Genomic DNA, 15,868 nt, shown 5'->3' with positions numbered 1-15,868 from the left:
CAGCACCGCCCAGGCATTTATTCCGAGCATGCTGCCCTGGCAAGCGACTCCAGTCCCCTTTCTCCCCACCCGCTAATGAACATCTGCTGGTGCTTCCTGGGAGTTCAAGGACTTTGGGAGAGGTGGCTTAGAGGTGGTGTAGTCAGAAACCAAAACCACGTCCATCTCTACTCCCAAAAGCATGAAGGAACTTCGTCTGTGCCTTCGGGTCCGTGCTGTCCTTACCCCAGGGATGTCCTTCCTTCCCACCCACCCGTTCATGTGGCCCAGACCTCTCGGTATTCCCATACTCAGCTCTGGGCACCCTCCTCTGGACACCTATCCTGGCAGCCCTGGGCAGCTTGGTAGGCACCTCCCTTGGGCTCCCACAGCCTACCTTGCAGCCGCTCCTATGGCGCTCTCGTTGCTGTTCACTTGTGTGTCTCAGAGGTGCAGGCTCACTCATCTCTGCCTCCCAGGGCTGAGCTCAGTGCCAGGCAGTGAGTGGGCCTCATTACGAGTCTGTTGAATGAGTGACGAGAGCTATAAGATGCCCAAGAAGGAATTTCAGAAATAAACAGAATTTTAACATCTTCTTCTTCTCTCCCTTTGGATAAAGGTTCCCAGGATCTAAGCTGAGCTCCTAGAATTAACGAGGTGGAGGGTAATCATTGATGCTCTCCCTCTGAAGACATTAGTCACACTTGGCTTTACCCACAACAGACACAGCCAGTCTTAATACTCTCATGATGATGGCCACAGCCCAAGGGTGACTGCTGCGGTTGCAGGCTGATGATCTTCCAGCCCTCCAGGCCAGGGCAGCAGTGTGGCTGGGGGTAGAGCAGCCAGGCTTTCTGTAGAATTTCTCCATCTGCACAGTCTTTGAGTGACAGCAGGTGGTGGGATAGGGTTCAGGGCTCCCTCTTCACTTGGGATATCCCAATCGAAGTGGGGAAGGGTTTGAATCTTCCCTTTCCTCCCCACAGGGAGGAAAGTGGGGAAGATTCCAGAGAGGGTGCTCTGTTGCGTGCAGGCAGCCAGGAACTTGGAGATGAGGGTGCTTTCAAAAGTCTGGCAGGGTACAAGGGGCCAGGCTAGCCCTGGGCGAATAAAGCGCCTTCCCCCTTGGGATTCCAGAATGACCCGAACTGTCACCACCCCTCCCCAGCGGGATCATGTGGCGAGGGACAATGCCAGGGGTGTTTGTCCTGGCTGTGTCATCTCCATCCCAGGGTCAGTAGAAGCACATGCATGCACACACACATGTACACACACGTGCACACACACACATAGCAAGAACTCTGGAACTAAAAACATTTTAAACACTCACTATTATTCTGCGGCAAAGCACCTGTCCTCCTAGAGAACAGGAAGAAGTTCATTCATTGGCTTAGCAGGCGTTCTCTGAGCATTTGCACAGGCCGGGCAGCAGACTAGGGGCTGGTGCAACTGTGAGCAAAGTGTACCCTGGCTGGGTCTTTGTGAACCTTCCAGGGTGGAGGGAGAACGAGGCCTTAAACAAGCACACAAAGCAAAGTATCGTTAGAAACCAGGACAAGTGCCACGGAGGAAAGTGCCGGAGCGACGGGAAAGCTGGGCAGGGGCCTGGCCTTGTCTGGGGTCAAGGAAGGCCATCTCTGACAAACTAACTTTGGATGTAAGAGCTGAAGGACGCTCGGGTTATCCGAGTGGGCGGGGGAGGGGCGGCAGTGGGAGTAGGGAGTGAGGTTCTGGGATGAGAGGACTGCCTGGGCAAAGCTCCTGGGGCCAGCTAGAGACGCATGAAATGGAGAAGCCGGTGGGATGGGCAGCGTGGTGAAACAGGAACCAGAGGGGTCGCAGGGGTCATAGCACCGGGGCCCATGGGTGACAAGTGACTGCTGGTCCTTGTCGTGGATGCATGGGAAGCATGATTGAATCTCCTGGCTGTAGGGCAGAGAGCGATGGGAGGGCCAAGAGTGGATGTGGAGGGTGAGTGAGCGCTCTTTACCTGGCTCTGGGGAGAGGCGAGGGTGGCAGTCAGAAGCACAGAGGCAGTGGCGTTGCCTTACTAGGGGATGGGTTGACCAGGGAGATTCCAGAAAAGGCAGCATCAGGGATGTCCCCTGACGTGCTGACTTCCATAAGGGACGGCAGGGGTCTGTGGGGCTGCTCAGCATCTTGAGCTGAGGCTGGGGGTTGGGAAGAAGGCAGGAGGGGTTCATGGAGAGAGGGTGCTGGGGGCTGCGCTCCGGGGGCACCACATACTCCCCGCCTGCTCTCCACCTCTCCGTGAGCCCCGTCCCCACCTCCCTCTGACCTCCAGAAAGAGCGGGGGGAGAGGAGTACATCCTAAACCAGCTCTGAAAACAAGCAACCCTGTTTAAAAAACACTTCCATAAGAGATGGCCCTTTTTAAGCCAAAATATGAAGGATATTCAAAATAAGTAACAAACTATGAACAGAAACATGGAATGAGGACTTGAAAGGGGAATAAACATAGCCAAAAAGTATGAATGTGAGGCTGTGGCCGACCCCCTCCCCGCGAATATACTGTCCCAGAGCCCTCCTGCAGCCTCCCGCTGGCAGATGGCTCCAGCCTGGGCTTGATCCCGGCGGGGCCTCCCAGGGGTTCTGGTTACCTCCTAGGGAGTTCTTGAAGTGTGTTCACGGGACCAGCAGCAGCAGCAGCACCTAAGAACTGGTTAGAAACTTGAATTCCAAATCCAAGGCTCGGGGTGAGCCCAACAAGCTGTGGGACTTTCTCATTGTTTTGTTTTGTTTTGCTTTTTAAAAAATTGAGGCGAGTTGGCCGGGTGCGGTGGCTCACACCTGTAATCCCAGCACTTTGAGAGGCCGAGGTGGGCCTCAGGATCACCTGCAGTCAGGAGTTGGAGACCAGCCTGACCAACATGGAGAAAACCCATCTCTACTAAAAATGCAAAATTAGCCGGGCATGGTGGCACATGTCTGTAATCCCAGCTACTTGGGAGGCTGAGGCAGGAGAATCGCTTGAACCCGGGAGGTGGAGGTTGCAGTGAACCAAGATCACATCATTGCACTCCAACCTGGGCAACAAGAGTGAAACTCCATCTCAAAAAAAAAAAAAAAAAATTGAGGTGAAATTCATATAACATAAAATTAACAATTTTAAATTGTTCAATTCAGTGCCATTTAGTGAACTCACAATGTTGTACAACCACCAGCTTTCTAGCACCTAAACAGTATTCTCACCCCAAAAGAAAACCCATCCCTATTAAGTGGGGCTTCCCCAGGTCCCTACCCCCAGCCCCCTACAATCAGCAGTCTGCTTGCTGTCTGTGTGGATTTGCCTATTCTGGACATTTCCTATAGATGGAATCACGCACTGTGTGGCCCTTTGTGCCTGGCTTCTTTCTCTTAGCATCATGTTTTTGGGGTTCACTCATGTTGGAGCCGCATCAGCACTGGAGTCGTTTGTGTGGCTGAATAATAGTCTATGGGTTGTATAGACCACACGAATCTGTGTTTTCACCAGCCCTCCGGGTGATTCTGATGCACGCTCAAGCTTGGGAACCACCACCCTACAATACCAGAACTGAAGCGCCAGGAGGGCCCTTTCTCTCCCCTAGCGTGCACTGTCCACCCCACCACCTCCATCCACACACCTCAGACACCTGCCGAGCTCACCTACGGGTGCAGCTCATGACAGAGCATCCGGACCTGCAGATTCACATCCAGCACAGTACCTCGCAGGGCTCTGCTCAGAAACATTTTGGATGTGTTGTGATTTAAGCTTAAATGTAGTAAAAATGAGTCATTTTAAAAATGTTCCCTTGGGTCAGACCACTTGTTAGTTCAGAGTGGACACTCTTTCCCCCACAAAGCCAAATTAGCCAGCAGGGGGTCCGGGGAAAGGTGTCAGGGGTCAGAGGGACCAACAGCTTTAGAGCCCTGCTCTGGGCTTGAAGCCTGGCTCTGTCACTAACTAGCTGTCTGTCCCTGGGCAAGTCTCTATCTCTCCAAGTATCAGTTCCCCCATCTGGAAAGGGCTGCAGTGAGGAGTACCCAGAATGAGGCTCTACAAATAGAAGCCATTATTTGCCATTTTCATAGCTTCAACAAAGTTGCACACACACTGGGACAAACTTGTGTGGTTAAGAAGCTGGGATTTTATCCTGAACACGATAGGAGACATTGGAAGGCTTTCGGCTTTAGGCGAGTGAGCGACAAGAGCCCATTTACTTTCTAAGAAGATCCCTCTGGTTTCTGTGGGGATCATATTATAGTTCCCAGTGTCATCCCCTTAGTTCAGGCCCACTGGCACCCCCCACCTCCACAAGGCCACTGCACCTCCCAGAGCTGTCTGACCCTGGGGAGGACCCAGCTGAGATTCGCAGGGACCCCCCCAACCCTCACTGATCAGCCATCACCTCTGTGAGATAGTTGCTTCTCTGACCCTGAGTTTACAGATAAGGAGACCAATGGCTCAAGAGACAGACTCAGACCCAGGCCCATCAGCCTGCCAAGGCCAGGCACTTCCCCCGGCACACTGTGCTGGCCTGCGGTGTTGGAAGGGGATGCCCAGAGTCTCTGGTCCAGGCCTTCTGGTACCCAGACCTCTGCAGGCCTCCACAGTGAGGCACTTGGTACTCAGGTCCTCCAGGCCACTGTCAGGGCTGGGCAGGCACCTGGTCACCATCAGAGAAAGAGCTGGGAGCCAGGGGTCCCCTCAGGCACTTCCATAGCACCCTATTAAATGCTTCCGGGAGGGAATCTCATTTTGGACTTTGGACACACACTAGCTGTGTGACCTTGGCCAAGCCACTTAACCTTCCTGAGCCTCCACTTCCTGACCTGCAAAAAGAGTATAATAATAGCTGCTAGCCTTCAGCATTATGGGGAGAATTAGACATAAGAATGTATTTTCTGTTCCAAAAGGCTGGTCGAGGCAGGGTCCCCCTCTGCCGCCCCCCAGCCCTCCCACCTACTGCCCGGCCACTTCCAGCCGCCCAGCCTAGGTTCCTTCCACACAAGATGAAAACAGTCTGGTCTGGAGGCCACCAATGGCATCACTCCCAGCTGCAGCCACCTCTGCCCCAGGAGCCCAGGTGGGTGAAGGGCAGGTGGTGACTTGAAGGGGAAATTGTCCTGCACGTTGTCCTCAGAACCTCGAGGAAGCTGGTGACACACCAGAGTGTGGACATTAATGTAATCGTTGGGTAATTCAATCACTTTATAGAAGTTGATCTGTCCTTTTTATTACAATTACTGTCGGCTGGGGTGTTTCGTTCCATCACTGAAAATAAACATCATTTATCATACTTGTAAAGATTAGCACCCGACAGCTACAGCTCTTGCTTTGCATAAATGTGTATTAATGTTGGCCCTGCCCGCAGTGTGGGGAGAAGTCTATATTTCACAAGACTGATTAGGCCCTGTCACCACTGCTTTAAGTAATGTCTTATCATGACTGATACTCCCCGACTGCAAAACAGGGGCCGGGGGAGGGCGGGGGCTGCTCCAGGCAATTTATGGTGGCACCAGAATGAAAAACAGGCCTGGGAAGGTGGGCATCTGTTTCTTCTGGGCCTGATCCCATCCCCGAAGCTGGGTCTGCGCCTCCTCCCAAGGCCCCTGCCTAACAAGCAAAGGCTGCCCATAGGGGTGTCGGGGCCCAAGAGTTCCACGACCATGGAGGGGCCTCATTCCAGCCTTGCATGTCCTCCTCTGACACCACTGAGGTTCTGTCTCTCCTTTCCTCTGCTGCGGGGAGGCGCGTCTGCCAGGCAGTTATCTGTCAGGAGCCCCTGTTGCGTCGACTGCCCTCCGCTCTGCCATGCCCGCTGTTGGCACCCAGATCGGTCCCAGCCCGGGCCTCTCTCCTGTGCTCAGCCTGGTACCCACAACCTCCTACCTTGCCCATTTGCCCTCCACATACACTCCGGGACTCCATGCCACCATAGGACAGTGACCAAGCTCCTCAGGAGCCAAACAGAATCAGGGTTTTGGGCCCTCCAGGGGCTGCCTCCTGCCACCCTCATCCTGCTGCCAGACCCTCCCTGGCCTCAGCCATACCGGGCTCCTCCACTCTCCTTCGTGCTGCTTAAGCCCACCCTGTGGTTTCACATGTGCGTGCTTCTGGACCCGAGCAGACACCTTCTCCCTGCACCCACCTAAGGAAGCCAGCACCCACCCAGGGTCATGGCTTGGCTCCGGGCCTCCTGTTCCCCACCCCTCCTTGGCCGGGAGAGTCAGTCCCTGTAAGTATTCCAACCAGGAACTTAGGCAGAAATCCTCTTAGTCATCCCCAGGTCCCAGCACCCTGTACAGTGATTGGCACAGGGTGGGTGCTGAATAAATCGTGGCTTCAAACAAAACAAAACAAAACAGTATAAATGATTAAGAACTCATTTTGCTGAAGAGATTCTTTTTTTTTTTTTTTTTTTTTTTGAGATGGAGTCTCCCTCTGTCATCAGGCTGGAGTGCAGTGGCGCAATCTCGGTTCACTGCAACCTCTGCCTCCCGGTTTCAAGCAATTCTCTGCCTCAGCCTCCCAAGTAACTGGGATTACAGGCACCCACCATCACGCCCAGCTCATTTTTGTATTTTTATTAGAGACAGGGTTTCTCCATGTTGGCCAGGCTGGTCTCGAACTCCTGACCTCGTGATCCTCCTGTCTCGGCCTCCCAAAGTGCTGGGATTACAGGTGTGAGCCATCACACCCAACCTCTTCCATCTTTTTAAGAAGGCTGACCTAGATCCCGTAGAGCTAGCCAGAGCTACCCAGTAAGGTAGCCACGAGCCACAAGTGATGATTTACACTTAAATTAACTACAACTAAATGCAATTAAAAGTTCAGTTCCCCAGCCCACTAACAACATTTCTAATGTTCAATAACTCCTGTATTAGACAGCACAGACATAAAGCACTTCCATGGTCCTGGAACATCCTGTGGGTCGGCGCTGTCGGACAGTGTTCCGGGGTGCCTGGAAGGAGTGGGCCGCAGTGTGGTGGGGCTGGAGAAGGGACCCTGGTGGCATATTCCACCTGAGGATGTCAGCAGGCAGATTCAGGTCACTCATGGAGCATGCTCTGAAAGATGTGGGAGGCTGGCCTCAAAGCCAAGTGTCACCTCGAGATTTTGGTGCCCAGATAGGTGCTGGTGTGAATGCCAAGGTTGTTTTGGAGTGACACTGCTGTTACTGTCATGAGCTGACAAAAAAGATAGGATGAAATGACAAAGCCTGGCTGGCGTGTCCAGCAAGGAGAGGCGTGTGCCACGTGAAAGCCGAACACAACGTGGAGCAGGATTTCAGACAGAAACTGTGGAGGAAGGACTGACTTCAGAGGGTCCACGCTCTGCAAGACAGAACATAGGCACAGAACACTGACATTTTCATTGATTTTACGGTTGTACTTGATTACATTTGTAAACTCATCTGGGCTATATAATTCCGTAAGAAAAAATTTATGTCTTGTTTGGTGCTCCCCTATTTTAAAAACATAATAACTGCAATGTAAGATACTTGAATGTTTTTCCTTTAAGGTGTCCATTGCTGAGCAGGCAGAGATTCTTGTCTGTGCTGTCCACCTGCACCCCAGCACCTACTGCAGTGTGTGGTGCATAGTAGATGCTCATTAAATACCTGAGAAATGAGTGTACAGAATCATGAGAGGACAGTTACGTGGATGGTGAATGAAAATCTTGGAAGCACAAAGTAGACATCAAATGGATATTTGCTAGGTGAATAAATCACTGAATGAATGGGCAAATTTATGAACAAATGAATGAATGAATGGCTGTCAGGCAATGGGAGCACAGTTGAGGTAGGTGGGAGCAGGGCTCAGTCAGGCATCTGGCTGCCTCTGGATCTCACCTGGACCTGGAGACCTTGTAGAGTCTGCGGCTGCCTCAGTGTTCCCAACCCCTGCCGGACCTTGCCGTCCCTTTGTGCCATCCTCTCTCCATCCCCACTGGCCTCCTGCTGGCTCCTGCTGGCTCCCGTGGGCTGTTAGGAAGAGTCTGGGCCTGTTCTCCATACTTACGCCACCTTATAGGACAGAGCAGCTGCTCCCCTGCCAGACAGTAGCAAGGGCCTTTACTGAGATGTAATTCACACACCAAGCAATTCATCCCTTTAAAATGTACAACTCCATGGTTTTTAGTGTACGCACAGCTACGTGCAACTATCACCACAGCAAATTTGAGAAGGTTTTCTTCGTTTCAAAAAGAACCCCTATACCCTTTAACTATCGCCTCTATGGAGCCTTTCTCCCCCAACCCCCTGCCTCTGACAACCACTAACCTACTTTCCATCTCTCTAGCTTCCCCTGGCATGGATACTCATGTGAGCAGGGCATATGGCATGCACCCTTTTGTGAGTGGCTTCCTTCAGTCAGCACCATGTTTTCAAGGTTCATCACATGTAACATGTTGGTTCCTTTTTATGGCTGAACATTGTATGGATAAAACACATTTTACTTCTCCATTTGTCTGTTGGTGGACATTTCGATCATTTCCACCTTTTGACTATTATGAATAGTGCTGCTATGGATGTCTGGTTCTGGTGGATGTCTATTTTCAGTTGTCTCAGACCTACCTCTTGTAGTGAAATCACTGGGCCCTGTATAGGAAAAATAGTTTTCCCAGGATCCATGTCTCAGCATCCCTTCCTCAGCCTGAGAGAGAGATCTGCTGTGGGATGACCCCAGGGAACCCTCCCCAGGCCCCAGGAAGCCACGGCCAGGTAGGAGTGGGGTGCACAACTGCCTGCTGCTGCGGGAGGTGAGAGTTTCATATTGACAGACACAATTTCAGAAGCTTCCAGTTTTCTCTAGCTAGGTCCCTCAAGCACCCTGGCTTCAGACCTTCGCTTACAATGACTCTGTGTCACTGAAGCTGTTAGTGGTTGGGCTGGTCCATACAAACCATTCTGCCACTGAGCTGTCTGTGGGAGTCGGGTGTGTCACTTCGGGCTGGAACCCTTATTTGCTGATGGGAGACCCCTCCCTCACTCTCAGTCTCTCTTTCCATCTGCCACCATGAGCAGTGATGTTGGAGACGGTGGCTTCTTTATCAGCTTGGGTTCCCAAGTGACTCAGGAGCGGATGCAATAAGAAACAAACCCTTGATGTTGTAAGCCACCGACATAATGGGGTTGTTTGTTATTGCAGCATAACCTGGCCTTTCCTGATGGAAAATCCAGATGCCTGGACCTCCTTCCTCCAGTCCGTGGGCATCCTTGCCAGCAGCCAGTGCAGAGCACTACCTCATTCCCAATTCCAGATGTGTACAGACCCCCTAACTCCCCGACCCAGGACTGGATGGGATGGGGCCCCATCTCAATATCTGGAGCACTTGGAAGGGCCAAAGGCATTTCTTGCCTGGGTTACTCATCATAAACAGACCCCTCCCTGTGAACATCATGGAATCCACAAAGAGTCCTCCCTTTGGAGGATCTTGCATATTTATTCATTCTTTTTTTTTTTTTTTTTTTTTTTTTTGAGACAGAGTCTTGCTCTGTCAACCAGGCTGGAGTATAGTGGCACGATCTTGGCTTACTGCAACCTCTCCCTCCAGGGTTCAACCAATTCTCCTGTCTCAGCCTCCCGAGTAGCTGGGACTACAATGCATGCACCACACCCGGCTAATTTTTGTATTTTTAGTAGAGACAGGGTTTTGCCATATTGGCCAGGCTGGTCTTGAACTCCTGACCTCAGGTGATGCACCCACCTCAGCCTCCCAAAGTGCTGGTATTACAGGCATGAGCCACTGTGCCCGGCCAGATCTGGACTTTCTACCTCCTTTCACAGATTCCATGGTCTGTGAAACAAACAAACAATAAAATCCCTATTTAGTTGAGGCCCTGCAGTCCAGTTTCTGCTACTTGGTCCTAATTGAAAACATAAACTGAAACTCTGATCAGGCCACTTCCTTGCTCAAGAGGCAGCACAGGGACGCCTGTCTTCCACCACGTGAAGTCTAAATGCATTGGCCTGACACTCATGGCCATCTGCCACCCTTCCCCACAATCCATTGTGTCTCCAAGTTGGATGGTTTTGCTAGCTCCTGGCCCCTCTCCGTTCCCCAAGTCCCCTTGGCACCTTCTCCCCACGGGAGCTCCTCTACCATTTCATCTCCTCCTTGGAAAACTCCCCTCAAAACTTTGACCAGCTGAAATGGTACAATGCCTCCACTCCCCACTCAGGATCAGCCTCCAGAGGGCACAAGCCAAGTCTCTTCCTCTCTGCAATCCCTGGCCCCTGGGTGTCGTAGGTCACCTATGTCATGGCCTATGCATGTCATAGGTACTCCACAGATGCTTTAGGGATGGGTGGTATGTTAGGCTGTTCTTGTACTGCCATAAAGAAATACCTGAGGCTGGGTCATTTATAAAGAAAAGAGGTCTAATTGGCTCATGCTTCTGCAGGCTGTACAGGAAGTACAGTGCCGGCATGTGCTTGGCTTCTGGGGAGGCCTCAGGGAGCTTTTGCTCATGGAGGAAGGTGAAGTGGGAGCAGGCAGGTCACATGACCAGAGCAGGAGCAAGAGAGTGGGTGGGGGAGGTTCCACACACTTTAAACAACAGGGTCTCCCGAGAACTCACTCACTATCTCAAGGACAGCAACAAGCCCTGAGAGATCCACCCCCAAGACCAAAACACCTCCCACCAGGTTCCATCTCCAACACCGAGGATGACATCTCAGCATGAAATCTGGAGGGGACAAACATCCAAATTATATCAGATGAACACCAGTGATTCTGTAATGCTGTATTATATGTGATATGGAATATATTTTATGTTATACATAAAGGTATCAGTAAGTGTTACTTATTGGTCAACTATTCTGTAAAAAATACTGTAGTAGGCATTTAATTTTTTTAAAAATTTGTTGTTTTCTTTTGTATACCAAAAGAATAAATGTTATCTGTTGAATACAAAAAAATACATTAAATCATCTATCCAAGCCCCTGCACTAGTAACATTTGGATAAACATCTTTTAAGATAGACATGGCATATTATATATAGACAGGAAACGATAAAGAGGGAGAAAAGGGATTGCTATATAATAATTTTTTAGTCAAATTTCGAAGTGCCGGCTACCCTTTTACTAGATATTTTCTATTCATAGCTTCATGCATATCCACATTTTACGCATGAAGATACTGAGGCTGAGAAGCAAATTCATGCAGCTTCATACCCAAAGTCATGCAGCTAGGATAGTAGCAAAGTAGAAATTTAACAGAGATCTGTGGAACTCCAAAGTCTGTGTTCTTCCACTCCACTCAACTTACATCACCTTACATATATTTGACATCAGGTATTCAAACAAAATAAATCACGTGAAATGCATGCCACACCATTTACACACTAATGTAGCTTTTGGCAGGTTTTGCTTGCATCTATATGCACAAACCTGTGTACCTTTTGCCTGCAGTTTTAATCTGGAGTCTATGGGCCTCTCAGGACACAGACAGGCTTTGGTGGCCCATGAGCCCCCTGAAGAATTATTTAAAGTTTTCTGTGTAAGTCTGAATGGTAAGTTTTATAAGGGAGGATTTATAACTTCATGAGATTTTTACAGGGCCTGTGACCTCATCCTGGCCAGGAAACACTGACGTATTGTATGCAGGTGTTCATACCAGGTTCGAGGAGGCATAAACAAAGGCACTCGTCACCCAAGTGTGCAACTGTGTGCTGTGCCTGACATAGGCCTGTGAGCCCAGCCCCCAAGCTCTCACATCCGGTGGGACTGGCCTGGCTCAGCATATGGAAGTCCCAGAGTGAGTGATCAGGGAAAACCAATGCATTTGGAGCTGCTGCATGGGCCAGTGGGGACAGGGTGGGGGACATGGAAACGAGGAGGGGCTTGTCACAGGTGAGACACAGCTCTGAGAGAGGGGTCCCCCGGAGACTGAGCCACTGACCCAGGACCAATGCTCCCTGGGAAGAGGGAGGTTTTGCTTTTGGCTCTAGCTGGGCCTCAGAGGGCAGGACATGGAGACTGGACATCTGTGGACTTCAGCACTAGATCTGGTTCTAGCATGAACTACCCCAATCTTGGGCATCTCTTCAGTTCCCCACGCCTCAGTTTCCCCATATATAAAATTAGCTGCCTCGGTTAGAATCAAAGCATAACTAAAATATCATGCTCTTAGCTAAAGAGCCAGGCGCTGCGGCCAAGGTCCCAAATCAACAGTGCTGGCTGGCCACGATTGGTTAGTTTGTTCGTTGGTTTCGTAACCCAGAGGCACTGATAACGCCAGCCCAGTCATTCCCCAGAGGTTGAGAAAGGAGGCTGCAGGACGATGGGGGAAGGACATCTGAGAGGGGTGGGTATGCTGGCGGAGGCTGTGAACTTTTCAGATAGGGACATACCTGTTTCCTTCTCCACTGTAACCTCAGCTTCCAGAATCCTGCTTGGTGCAGTCGGTGCCTGTGTTAGTTCCTAGGGCTGCTGTAAGAAAGTGCCAACAACTAGGTGGCTTAAAACAATAGAAATGTACTCTATTACAGTTCTGGAAGCAAAAAGGTCTGAAATCAAGGTGGCTGCAGGGCCCCACTCCCTCTGAAACCTTTGGGGGAATCCTTCCTTGCCTCTTCCAGCTTCTGGTGTGGCCAGCAATCTTTGGCCTTCTTTGGCTCACAGTGGCATCACTCAATCTCTGCCTACATATTTGTCTGGCATTCTCCCTGTGTGCCTGTCTTTGCATGGCGATCTTCTTATAAGGACACCGGTCATACTGTATTAAGGGCCCACCTTAAGATTATGGCCGCATCTTAACTAATTATATCTGCAATGACCCTATTTCCAAATAAGGTCCCATTCTAAGGTATTGTTAGGTTAGGACTACAACATATCTTTTTTGAAGGAAGGACAACATTCAACCCATAACAGTGCTCAATAAATATTTAGTAAACAAGTGAGAGAGACAGATGGGCACAGGCTCTGTTCTTGGCAAGTCTTTGCTATGAGAAGATTGCCAAGGAGATAAAAATGAGCTTCTTGGGATATAATATCAAATAATTGCTACTCCTTGGGAAGAAGCCACAGTTTGCTGTGCTGGAATTATTGAATCACGAGTGGAGAGTAAGGTGCACGTGAATGAAGAGAAGCAATGCTATGCGCATATTAACCCGAGCGCTTGACTTTGAGGACAGGACAGCAGGATGTGGCTGAGTGGAGGTGGCAGGAGACGCTTGGGACCATGACACTCACAGTCTTATTGCTGTGGCGTTCTTAGTGCTGTTATTTTTGTCATTTTCCTAGCTTGATGAAAAAATTTCCTTTTTTCACTTCCACAGAACAAAACAGCTTGTGTTTTGTAATTTCATGTGGCTGATTTTGTGTACCTTTGACAGTTCAGCCACACTTTGGACATAACATTTCACCTTGTAACTCAATTTTTTTTTTAAGCCAGCCTTAATAAAAAGCTATTGTTTTAGTTAGCTGTGGCATTTGAAATTACCTGGGCTCCTTAAACCCTTTATTCTGGGGTTCAAGAATTCTGAACAGCTGGTGTATAAAGACCATCACATAAAATGAAGGCAGGTATCACTTGGTCCAGCTCTGTAGGACAGTGGTGATCGAGGTCGAAAACGTCTACTTCCAGGACAAGTCGCTTAGACCTTGGGGCAATTTATATTTTAGAGATGCCCAGACAGTAGCTCTGATTTAGGATTTACCTGCTCCAGCTGTTACTGACTCCTTGCTAGTCCAGGTTGAGTGTAGGGAACAGAAACCATGCCAGGTACTTTAAGCAGGAAGGGATTTAATACAGGCACTTAAAGATTTACAAAATCATCTGAAGAGGCTGATGGCTCAATTCCAGTCTGGGTCTCCAGGAATGACTACCAGAATACCAAGGAACAGGAAATTAACTCCAGGAACACGTTGTCATAGCTGTGACCCAGGGAATCGGGAAGATGGGATTAGGGAGCTGCCAGTGCCCGTGGGCCTAAATCCTCAGTCGTAGAGACAGCTGCCTTTTGACACAGAAAGCTGATGGCTGGCCATGGGGATGCTGAATCCAGCCACTGCTGCGACTGGAGCAGGAGGCTGGACACTGGTCTTTCCTGTTTGCCTTCTGTCTTCTAACGTCATGTAAGTGCTTCTCTTACAGAACTGATTTTGTAACCAGGACCCTGACTGCAAAGGGCTGTGGGAAATGTAGTTCAAGCTTTCAAATCTCTGTAGTAGGGGAAGGCACTCCAGAGAGGAAGGAATAAACGCCGAGGCTCATGGCTGTGTCCTGCTGACGACCCTTTCTTTGTTATGGGCCAGAAATAGCCATTCCCTAGACAGAGAGGAGGCATAAAATACATGACGTGCTCCAAGGAGAGAGAATGCAAGGATTACAGCCTCCTCACACCCACGTGGAACTCCACATAGGAGCTCCTTTCTCTAAGCTGGGCAGGGCTGTAAGGGCATTCAAAGGATGGAAGAATGCCTTAGAGCACAGCTGTCTGATGGAACTTTCTGCAATGATGGAAATGTTCATGTCAGTGTCATCCAATACAGTTGTCACTAGCCCTATGTGGCTGCTAAGCACTGGACATATGGCTAGTATGACCGGGTAACCGAATGTTTACTTTTCATTAATTTAAATTTAAATTTACTTAGTCTCATCCTAGTCTCATGGGGTAGTAGCTAGCACACTGGACAGTGCACTCTGAGGGGTGTCCAGAAAGGTGAGGCCAGGCACCCTGACTCCCCAGCTGTGCTCGAGGCTGGATCTGGTAGGGCCTGGAGAGAAAGCAGCAGAGACCGGCAGAGCCACCTGAAGAGGGAGCAGGACTCCTAAGGCAGGGGTGTCAGGGGCTTCTCTGAAGTGGCTGGTGTGTTAGAACTAAAAGAGATGCAGGGGCAAGGGCTCACCCTAGGAGACCAAGCAGAAGTCAAATCCTCAGTCTGAAGAAGATACTGGGGTCCAGGAGCCTGGAATGCCAGGAGGAGAAATCAGGGAAGAGTGAGGTTGGAGCATAGCAGGAGCAGAGTCTGGGGGACCCACAGTCAAACCTGTATGACATCAGCAATGGGAGGGGACAAAAGATTCACATTAGGCCACACCCTGGTGGCCTGCAGATGTGACAGGTGAACTCTTTAATTAGTCACTAAGAGTGCCAGTTTCCTACTGCTGCTGTCACAAATGACCACAAACTTGGCAGCTTAACCAGCACAATTGGATTCTCTTACTGCTCTGTAGGTGAGAAGCCAACAAGGATCTCACTTGGCTGAGCGCAAGGCGTCTGCAGGGCTGTGTTCCCTCTGGAGGCTCTGCAAGAGAATCCATTCTCTGGCCTTCTCCACATCCCACTGGTGGTCTGCATTCCTCGCCTGTGGTCTCTGTGTGCGTCCTTAAAGCCCATCACTGTGACCTCCGCCCCGTCGTCACATCTTCTCTTACCCTGCCTGCTACCTCCCCCGTGGTTGGACCGCATGATGCACTGATGCGTGGTAATTTAGAATAATCTCCCATCTCAAACTCCTTAATTAAAAATATATTTCTTTCTTTCTTCCTTTCTTTCTTTCTTTCTTTCTTTCTTTCTTTCTTTCTTTCTTTCTCTTTCTTTCTTTCTCTTTCTTTCTCTTTCCCTTTCTTTCTCTCTCCTTTTCTTTCTCTCTCCCTTCCTTCCCTCCCTCTCTTTCTTTCTTTTCTTTCTTTTCTTTTTCTTTCTTTCCTTCCTTCCTTCCTTCCTCTCTTTCTTTTTCTTTTCTTTTCTTTCTTTCTGTTTTTTGAGACAGGGTCTCACTCTGTTGCCCAGGCTGGAGTGCAGTGGCGCCATCACAGCTCACTGCAGCTTCAACCTCTTGGGCTTGAGCCATCCTCCTGCCTCAGCCTCCCCAGCGGCTGGGCCCACAGGCGCATAGCACCATGCATGGTGAATTTTTTTTTTATTTTTATTTTTTGGCAGCAACAAGGTC

At 49.9% G+C, this 15,868-nt stretch overlaps 1 long non-coding RNA gene across 4 annotated transcripts; it reads right to left on the bottom strand.

The window, feature by feature from the left end:
- Positions 1-6,618: 6,618 nt before the first annotated feature.
- On the bottom strand, positions 6,619-14,943 carry LOC105373587 (uncharacterized). 4 transcript variants are annotated; one of them, XR_923264.2, is made up of 5 exons: positions 14,822-14,943; positions 13,413-14,240; positions 12,322-12,400; positions 7,818-8,016; positions 6,619-7,299 (listed from the first exon to the last, which is right to left on the bottom strand). It is a non-coding gene; the product is annotated as an uncharacterized LOC105373587 (long non-coding RNA). The 4 variants fall into 4 exon arrangements; XR_923266.2 differs by having other exon boundaries at positions 7,818-7,949; XR_923265.2 differs by lacking the exon at positions 13,413-14,240 and having other exon boundaries at positions 12,322-12,428.
- Between the last annotated feature and the right edge of the window lie 925 nt (positions 14,944-15,868).

This window comes from Homo sapiens, chromosome 2, assembly GCF_000001405.40.
Source record: "Homo sapiens chromosome 2, GRCh38.p14 Primary Assembly".
Classification (NCBI taxonomy): domain Eukaryota; kingdom Metazoa; phylum Chordata; class Mammalia; order Primates; family Hominidae; genus Homo; species Homo sapiens.
The sequence above is the reverse complement of the archived record's forward strand: the minus strand, read 5'-3'. Positions and strand labels throughout refer to the sequence as shown.